Source organism: Homo sapiens, chromosome 22, assembly GCF_000001405.40.
Source record: "Homo sapiens chromosome 22, GRCh38.p14 Primary Assembly".
NCBI lineage: Eukaryota > Metazoa > Chordata > Mammalia > Primates > Hominidae > Homo > Homo sapiens.
In genome coordinates, this window is record NC_000022.11 from 19,120,427 (window position 1) to 19,129,480 (window position 9,054).

The 9,054-nt window shown below is 57.3% G+C and overlaps 1 protein-coding gene and 1 pseudogene across 5 annotated transcripts in view, besides 3 other annotated features; one reads left to right on the forward strand and one right to left on the reverse strand.

The window, feature by feature from the left end:
- The window catches only part of DGCR2 (DiGeorge syndrome critical region gene 2), an 86,127-nt gene extending 84,141 nt beyond the window's left edge, over positions 1-1,986 (reverse strand). For all 5 annotated transcript variants that reach the window (NR_033674.2, NM_001173534.2, NM_001173533.2 and 2 more), the window contains exon 1: positions 1,702-1,986. Coding sequence is in view for 4 of the 5 variants with exons in the window: in NM_001173534.2 (NP_001167005.1) it covers positions 1,702-1,780 (79 nt within the window). In the remaining variant the exon portion in view is untranslated. The remainder of the gene's footprint in view (positions 1-1,701) is intronic.
- Positions 1,345-1,846: an enhancer, noted in NCBI's record as "H3K27ac hESC enhancer chr22:19109284-19109785 (GRCh37/hg19 assembly coordinates)". NCBI's record gives its function as "activates a minimal SCP1, AML or CMV promoter by ChIP-STARR-seq in naive H9 embryonic stem cells {active_cell/tissue: H9 hESC(naive)}" and the evidence as "EXISTENCE:reporter gene assay evidence [ECO:0000049][PMID:30033119]".
- Positions 1,631-1,750: a silencer, noted in NCBI's record as "silent region_13453". NCBI's record gives its function as "represses an Ori minimal core promoter by ATAC-STARR-seq in GM12878 lymphoblastoid cells {active_cell/tissue: GM12878}" and the evidence as "EXISTENCE:reporter gene assay evidence [ECO:0000049][PMID:35858748]".
- Positions 1,871-2,310: a silencer, noted in NCBI's record as "silent region_13454". NCBI's record gives its function as "represses an Ori minimal core promoter by ATAC-STARR-seq in GM12878 lymphoblastoid cells {active_cell/tissue: GM12878}" and the evidence as "EXISTENCE:reporter gene assay evidence [ECO:0000049][PMID:35858748]".
- Positions 4,448-5,461, forward strand: TSSK1A (testis specific serine kinase 1A (pseudogene); annotated as a pseudogene).

Below are 9,054 nucleotides of genomic sequence, written 5' to 3' on the forward strand. Positions count from 1 at the left end.
GTTCCACATCAGGCACTCCTAAAAGGAGGGGCTTGTTCTTGTCACTTGGATTCCCTAGGGATGGGCAGGGGGCAAGCACCCACAGGCACTTTCTCAGTTGCTGCTGGCCAGTTGGCAGGCTATGTGAAAAGGCTGGCAAGGAAAAAGGAGTCGGGGACGTCAGTCACCTCTATCACCCAGGCAGGAGATGCTGGGCCTGGAACCAGAGGCACCCCAAAGAAGCCAGGCATAATATGGCCTCACCTGAGCCCGGTGACCTCATCTGCAAAACTGGGACTCAAGAATCAGAAAACGGTGACCTTCTACCTCTCTACACGTACATATATGTTTTCTAAAGAAGTTAATCACAAGAATCCACAAACCCATTGGTTCTGACCTCCAAGAGCCTATATGATACCCTCCTCCACAGGTAGCCCTTTTCCTGGCTTCTGTTCTTACCAAGGCCACCCCACAACTAGTCATCCCGCTGCCCAGAGAGCAGCCAAAAGCAGTGAGCAACTAGCTCTACATGGGGAGACCAGAGAAGCATCACTGAATCTGTCCAGGTTGAGCACCGGTCAGGGCCTTGGCCACCAGGCAGGCACTAGGGAGGAGGCAGACATTCCACATAGATGACACAAGCGCAGAGCCAAGAGGTGCGGTGTATCTGGGCTGGGAGCCTGGCTAGGGCACAGGAGAGGGCCACACACCCCGTGCTCCCACACCCAGGTCATCAGAGAAGATGGCCCTGGCACTTCTGCCTTCATGGGACCTTTCCTCCATTAAGAAATATTAAGAGTCATGCTTTTTCACTGTATTAGTATAAAGATGACTGTATTAATATACATACGAAAACATTTTATTTGACCTAAAAGTTCATTTTTTTTCTGCTGACTTTAAAAAAAAATAAAATAACATTCGAAGGCTACTAAAAGTACCGTGGGCAAGTGATACCAGGATTCCTGTGCCTGATGGATACATCGGCCCTGCATTTAGGGAGTTTGATTTTTTGGTGCAGTTCAAGGGGAGGTACACCGAAATAGGTAGAAAAGGGTCTCCTGGTTGCCACGGTTCTGATTCCCCACCACAGACTTAAGAACACACTAGCTCCGAGGGGAGTTCCAAAGCACGGACTCATTCATCACATACACGCAGCACGGCTAAGGGCCCCGCACAGTGGCGAGGTCTCTGCTCCCGGGACGCTCGCGCCGGCCACACAACGCTAGGCTGACTCCTGGTGCCTCCTCTAGGCCCGGTGGGACCTGAGGACTTCCTTAGCGCAACGTCTCACTGAATGACAGCCACAACCACCGCTGTCCAGGCGAGGAGTTTCCAGGACTGAGAGGCTGGCACTAGGCCACTGCTGGGAGGACGTCTGTGAAACCAGGTGCCCCTGAGAGCCACTGTCCCCAGCCCGACTCCGACGCTGGACTGGCGAGAGGGTGCGCCCGTGGCGTAGCTCCTGGCCGCCGCCGCTCCCGGGAAGGGCCCAGAGGCAACATCCTGGACAGCAGAGCTGCACGAAGTCCGAGGCGCCGCGAGCCCAGGTAAGCTCCAGCAGGCGTCCGCAGAGAGTGCCAGGCGGCCCGCGAGCCAGGCCCCGCCCGCCCCTGCCCCAGGCGCGGCCCCTGCAGGAGGGCGCCGCGGGTGAAAGGAGGTCCCGGGGCGACCCCGGCCCCGCTCGCCGCCCAGCCCCCACACCGCCCCCATCGCGCGGCGCACCTGGCCGCAGCGGCTCGGTGACAGTGAGCACGAGCAGGAAGAGCAGCAGGAAGGCGCCGCTGTCTGCCTTGGGCACCATTTATCCTCCGTTCATCGTCCCCGGGGCGGCTGGAAGGCCGGACCAGGCCGGACTGAGGGTCAGGGGACCGTGCCAAGCGGAGGGTCAGGCGGAGCTGAACCTGGGCGAGGCGCGGAGAGGCGGCGGGAAAGAGCTTCGGCTGGGCCGCGGGCTGGCGCACACTCTCGGCTGCAACCTCAGGCACCGACTCCAGCTGCGCGCAAGATGGCGGCCGTCCTGCTCGGCTCCGCGCCGCGCCGCCCCGCCCCGCCTCCCGCCCGCGACGCAGGCGCGGGCCAATGACCGTCAAGATGGGGGGCGGGGCCAGAGCCAAAGCCCTCCGAAGAGGGTGAGGCCTAAGGTCGCGACGGCGGAGGGCGGGGACCTAAGGGCGGGGACTGAGGGGCGGGCTCTAAGGGAAGGGCGGGACCATACGGAGTGAGGCGTGCCATTGGTTAAGCAGAGAGGCAGGGCCGGGGCCGGGGCCTGAGCGGCGGGGCCACCGAAGGGAGTAGGGTCTCTGGACGCCGGTTAGGGACGGCGGGCGCGGGACGGCAAGGATGGACATCGAAAGGCGCGGGGCATGGGGCGGGGCGCCGAGGGGTCGCGCGGGTGGGGAGCGGAGAGAACGAAGTGGGAACCTGGCTGGGACTCCAAGGGTCTTCACACCTGCAAGCTCAGGTCCCGTGAGCAGCCCAAAAGTGCGCCCCAAAGGGGTCTTTTTAAGGCCGAACCGCTGTGGAGGAGGGAGGGCCTGCCGGTTCTGAGGGTGGGGAAAGAGGAACAGGAATGGCCTAAGAGAGTGTCAGGCAAAGAGAGACCGGGAAGGCCAGGTCCTGGAGACTGCAGCGAAGCCGGCTCCCTGGAGGACCTGCCTACACAATGGCTAGGGGAAGGCCACATGTGCAGGAAAGAAAGCTAGGCAGAGAGGAGGCTCAGCGCCCCTGCGAACAGTGCTCCAAGTGCCACTTCTCCCGTCATCACCAACAGGGTGAACCTTGGAGGGCAGTGTCGGCGAAGAGTCCAACTCTGTAAAATATTTGAAGACATTTCTTCTGAGCCAATATGTGACCAATAGCCTGGGACACAGCCCCAGGAGATCCTGACAAGTGCCCAAGGGGGTAGGGCCACAGCTTGGTTTTATACATTTTAGGGAGACAAGACATCAATCAGCACATGTAAGATATACATTGGTTCAGTCGGAAAAGGCGGGACAACTTGAAAGTGGGGGGTGGAGGGGGGCTTCTAGGTCATGCGGATTGGCAGTTGGTTCAAAGAGTTTATCTAAAGACCTGGAATCAATAAAAGGGACTGTCTACATTAAGGGGTTGTGGAGACCAAGTTTCTTAGGCAAATGAAGCCTCCAGGTATCAGGCTTCACAGAGAAAAGACTGTTAATGTTTCTTATTAAAAAGTGCCAGACTCTGCCGGGTGTGGTGGCTCACGCCTGTCATCCCAGCACTTTGGGAGGCCAAGGCGGGCGGATCACCTGAGGTCAGGAGTTCAAGATCAGCCTGGCCAACATGGTGAAACCACATCTCTACTAAAAATACAAAAGTTACCCAGGCGTGGTGGCACACGCCTGTAATCCCAGCTACTCAGGAGGCTGATGGCAGGAGAATCGCTTGAACCGGGGAGGCAGAGGTTGCAGTGAGCCAAGATCATGCCACTGCACTCCAGCCTGGGCAACAGAGTAAGACTCTGTCTCAAAAAAAAAAAAAAAAAAAAGGAAAAAAAAAAGGAAAAATAAATAAAAGGTGCCAGACTCTAGTTAATTCTCTCAGGAGAAAAGACCTTGAAAGGGATAGGGATTCTCTACAGAATGTAGATTTTCCCCACAAAAAACAGCTTTGCAGAGCGACTTCAAAATATGTGAAAGAAACCTGTTTTGCAGTAAAATATGTGTTTCCTTCCGGGCCTGCTGTCATGCTGGTATCTTACTGCCACAGAGTCTGTTGTCAGTCTTCAAGTCTCTGTGTCGATGTTACACTGCTTAGCTGTGCCTGAAACCTGAAGGGAGGAGGGATAATGAGGCCTGACTCCCACTTCCTATCACGGCCTGAAATAGTTTTTCAGGTTAAGTTTGGAATGCCCTTGGTGGAGAGGAGGGGTCCATTCAGATGGCTGGGGGGTTAGAGTTTTATTTTTGGTTTCCAGGAGACAGTAGTTGGGGTGTCCCCAGCGGGAAGGAGAAGGAGGCTGTCTGGAAGGAGGAGAACCAAGAATGCACAAAGGCCTGGCAGTGGGCAGTCAGCGTTAGGGAAGAAGGTGAAGGAGCAGAGAAAAGGGGGAAGGGCCACGGCAGGTGGGGACCCAACCCAACATGAGTGACAACCAGCCCGCCCTACCAAGTCATCCTGAGGGGCCCAGGGTTCCACTTGGCTCCTGTGAGAAAGGGGTGCTCACTCCCTCTAGGTGGATGAGGCCAAAGTCAAATCCAAGGCTAGGATAGTCATGTGACTCCTACTCCCCTAGGGCATAGCCCGGAACAAGTGCTGGACACAGAGCCTGGCACAGCAGAGGGGCTCCACTGCCAGAAAAAACAATGGCCACACTCTCCAGTGCTGCCCCTGCTGCTTGTACTGTCCTCAGAGCAGCCACCAGTGCTCAGGGTGGCATCCAGTCCCCGCCTTTAGCCCCCAGCCCCAGATCTGCCCTGGGAGCCCAGCCAGGGGCAGAAAAAAAACTAGTTCATTGAGTGCCAGGGAGCCCTGCCCAAGGACATGGCGTGCAAGATGTTCCACCAACTCTCCTCAGCCATTAAATACTGCCACGACCTGGACATCATGCACCAGAACCTCAAGTGTTAGAACCTTCTCCTCGACAAGGACTTCAACATCAAGCTGTTCTACTTCAGGTTCTCCAAGCTCTGCCTGCGGGATGACAGTGGCCAACAGAGATTAAGCAAGAACTTCTGCGGGTTGGTGGCATATGCAGCCCCCGAGCTGCTGCAGGGCATCCCCTACCAGCCCATGGTGTATGACATCTGGAGCCTGGGCATGATCCTCTACATCATGGTCTGCAGCTCCATGCCTTACGACTCCAACATCAGGAAGATGCTGCGTATCCAGAAGGAGCACCGCGTGGACTTCCCACACTCCAAGAACCTGACAGACGAGTGCAAGGACCTCATCTACTGCATGCTGCAGCCCGACGTCAGCCAGCGGCTGCACATCCATGACACCCTCAGCCAATGCTGGGTGCAGCCCAAGGCACAGGGACTGCCCTCTATGGTCTTCAACAAGGAGGGGGAAAGCTCCCAGGGAACTGAACTCTTGTGGACCCCTGAACCTGGCTCTGCCAAGAGGTCTGCCACCAAGCTGGAGCCTGGGGAACAGACACAGCCCGAGGGACAGCCTGAGACAAAACCTGAGGGGTTGGCAATGCAAATGTCCAGGCAGTCGGACATCCTAGGCTTCCCCAGCAAGCCGTCGACCAGGGAGAAAGAGGAAGGGCCCCCCAGCAGCCTCCAGAGATGCGCACCTAGTGAGCCGTTTGTGGCCCAGTGTGCCAGCGGCGAATGAGATGGAGCTCACGCCTTCAGGCCCAAGCTCTGAAGAAGTCAAGGCACAAACCAGAGAAGGAAGACGGTCCCGGATGAGCCGCTGTTTTCATCAATTTCTTCTCTCTCCCCTTGAACTTCATAACCGACATTGCTAAAGGAGCAATAAATCACTATATTAATGCAGATGCCAAAGTGAATGTCTTTGCCTCAACTGACTAGTCCTGGGCTCCCCTCCACTGGTTTCCCACTCAGATTGTGCAATGATTCCTCGTTTGCTTGGGAAAACACATCCCAACGTGCCCAGTCCAGACCATGACCTCAGGCCCAGGCTGGGGCTGGGGCTTGGGCTGGGGCTGGGAGAGACCTGGAGGGGCAGGGGCCAGAGCTGAAAGGTGAGTGAGGAAGCCGCTGCCTCAGAAGGGACGCCCCCAAGTGCGGTGCTGGGGTCGGGAAAGGGCAGGGAGAGGACAGGACCAAGAAGCATGCCGAGGTACCCCTGTAGAGGAGCGCAGGCTTTATCTGCAGTTGGGACTGAGGGTCTGGGCAGACCTCTCCAGCCCCACAAGGCTGCCAGTGGGGGTTGTGGGAGGCTGCAGAGGGCAGGTGGCCAGCCTCTCAGCCACTCCTGAGCTCCCTACCCTGCTGGGCAACTCGTTCATTGTGCTCTGTCCATCAGAGGCCCCCTGTGTCCAGCCAGCACCCAGCTTTCAACAGTGCCGGGGTCGCCGCACCCTGTGGTCATTCTCTAGCCCGGGAGAAATAGGAGGCTCTGCTGGATGGCCCAGCCACACTCCAGCCTGAGCATGTCCCACAGTCTTGTGTGGTCTTGACCACATCTTGTTGTCCCCGTCCCAGCCTGTCCCAAGGGACGACACCCCTGCATTAGAAGTTGACACTGGCAAGTAGGATACGACAGGCAACCACAAAGGACAAGCGCTTTCAGAATTACCTCTCCCATGGCCTCTAAGTGGATGGGGCCAAAGTCAAACCCAAGGCTAGGACTGTCATGCGACTCCCACTCCCCCAGGGCGGGGCCTGAAGCAGGTGCTGGACACAGAGAATGTCAGAGCAGAGGAGCTCCACTGCCAGCAACATCGATGATCACTGTCCACAGTCTACCTATGGTCACTTCTCTACCTCGGGAAGACCCCAACCTCAGTCCCCTTGGAGAAGTAGGGTCTAGTGAGAGCCTGGACTGGCCCTCCTTGCGCTCTTCCCCAAGTCCACCTGCCTCCTCATGTTCTCACAGCCCCCTTCCACGTGGTTTAATTTCAGGCCTCCACCCCAACCCTCCCACCACCTCCGACAGTGTCCAGAGCCATCCCCCACCAGCCTGGCTCCCACTGCCCAGTGGGGAGGAACCTACCCTGGCCTCTGGGGTCCTCCTGTGGCCCAGTGCATCCTCCCCTGGCCTCTGGGCACCAGGCCTCACCACTGCGCCCCCATCACACACACGGCCCATAATCATACAGGGAACTCGCCCCTGCAGACTCTGTCCAGCTCTCCAGGCTCAGCTGAGAGGCTGAGGCCTCCATAAAGCCTTCTAGGGGTTCTCAGCAGCCTGCCACTGTGTACTCTGCCAACAGGCCTCAAGGAGCCACCCTATTTTTCCCACCAAGAAACTCATGGTGGAGAGGGAGCCCAGAGTGCTGGGATGGGGGCCCGGGTGGGACATCCTGAGAAATGGCTCTTGGGGCCTCCTCCTCAATTATCCCCACGGACCTGCGCTGGTCCTCAGGGCAGTGGCTGGCAAGCAGGTCTGGGAGCCTCACTGTAGCTCAGCCAGGTAAGCCCGGGTGGGAGGGGCTGCAGGAGGAGTTCCTGCTCTGAGCTTTACAGCTGGAAACAGCTCAGAGGGAGTGGGCCACCTGTCTGAGATCACACTGCCCAGGGCAGGAGTCCCAGGTGACGCCTCCACAGGTGGCCTCGCCATGCCGGGCGACTCCTGTAGGTGGCTCAGCCCTGGCTCAGACCCCTTCAAGGATTCTCAAAGGTGCTAGGACCAGGACCTCAACAGGGCCCTCCATGGCCTGTCCGTGCTCCTGCCAAGCCACATCCCTTCAAACCGTCACATGTAATAGCTATCCTCATCCCTCTCCACCTGGCTAGTTCCTCAGACCTCAGCCTTCCCCAGCTTCCCAAAGTCCAATCCCCAGTTCCCTGTCCTCACAGCACCATGGTTCTGATGCGTGGCACAGCCACCATCGCGCACACACACTTGGTGTGATTGAGCCTCCCTCGCCTCTGGGCTCCAGGACGGCATGGGTGGTCTAGCTCATCAGTGTACCTCGGCATCCAGGGCAGACCCTCAGTGCTTGGGGGACAAATAGGTAAAAAGGTGTCTACTTTATAAAGGATAGGAAGGTTCAGAGAGAAGTGGATTTCTCAGAGTGTGCAGGTACCTTGCTCACAGGACTGCAACCCTAGGAGCAACGCTGGAGGTCTCCAAGTCGAATCCAAAGCTCTCTGTCAAACATACCAGGAGTGCCGGCCCTGTGTGTGCATCCTGGATGAAGCGGCCCGCTCCATGCCCGGGCAGTTCTGCCTCTGCAATGTTGACACCTGCCTCTTCTGGCATGTCCCCCAAGAACCAGAGAGACCCTCAGGAGGTGAAGAAGTAGAATGCACAAAAAGAGGGAGAAGGCATTGGTAGAGTCTGGGAAGAAGGCAGATATGCAGCCAGGGCACGGTGGCTCATGCCTGTAATCCCAGCACTTTGGGAGGCCGAAGCAGGCAGATCACTTGAGGCCAGGAGTTCGAGACCAACCTGGGCAACATGGTGAAATCCCATCTCTCCTAAAAATACAAAAATTAGCTGGGCGTTGTGGTGCTTGCCTGTAATTCCAGCTGCTCGAGAGGCTGAGGCATGAGAATTGCTTGAACCTGGGAGGTGGAGGTTGCAGTGAGCCGACATGGTGCCAGAGCATGACTCCATCGAAAAGGAAGGGGAGGGGAGGGGAGGGGAGGGGAGGGGAGGGGAGGAAGCAGATATGCAGAGAAGTGTCCCAGATAGGGCATTTGGGGGAGCAAAGGAAAGGGTCAGGGGGTGGTAAGTGGGAGGTCTCATGCTCCTGGGTCCTGGCCTGCAAATTTTCATAGCCAGCCCCTTCTAGGACAAAAAGGAGTGAAGTGTTGGTCATTTCAGCCGTAGAGGCTCCCAGGAAAAAGGAAAGCATCAAACTAAAGCTATTAACCACCGATGCTATAAAGAGCTTCGGGTGGGACTCTGGGAGGCTGTCACTGCTGGAAGGCAGTCACTGTAGGCACGTCGGCCCACCCTGCCCATCTGAGCCTCTCAGCTTAGCATCCTGACTTTGGCTGCCCTGTTTCTGCAATCCTCCCTAGTGACCTCCAAACACAGGGTGCTCCCTGTGTACTCCAGATGGAGTGGGTCCACACAGCCATGCCAGGGCCAAGATGTCACATCTGTCTGACATGTCCTGCCCCTCTTGTCAACCCTGTGGAGTCTGCTGATCCCCAGCACCCCAGCTCCAACATCACTTCCTCTTTGAAACCTTCCAGGACTAAACCCCACCTGGGAACAGGCCTTCCTCCCTCTCCCCTAAACACTGAACACACAGCTCATCTGTCCCAGCTGCTCCCTGTGAATCCAGGATGCCTGTGATGGATGACAAATGAACATCAGTCCAACGCACCTGAGGAGACATGTACAGGATGCCACATTTCCCAAAGCACAAATCCACACACCAGCACTGAAACAGGATGTTCACACTGCAGGTGCAAAAGGCAGCCCGAGACGTAAATGCTACCCAATGTCAGGGTTCCAACA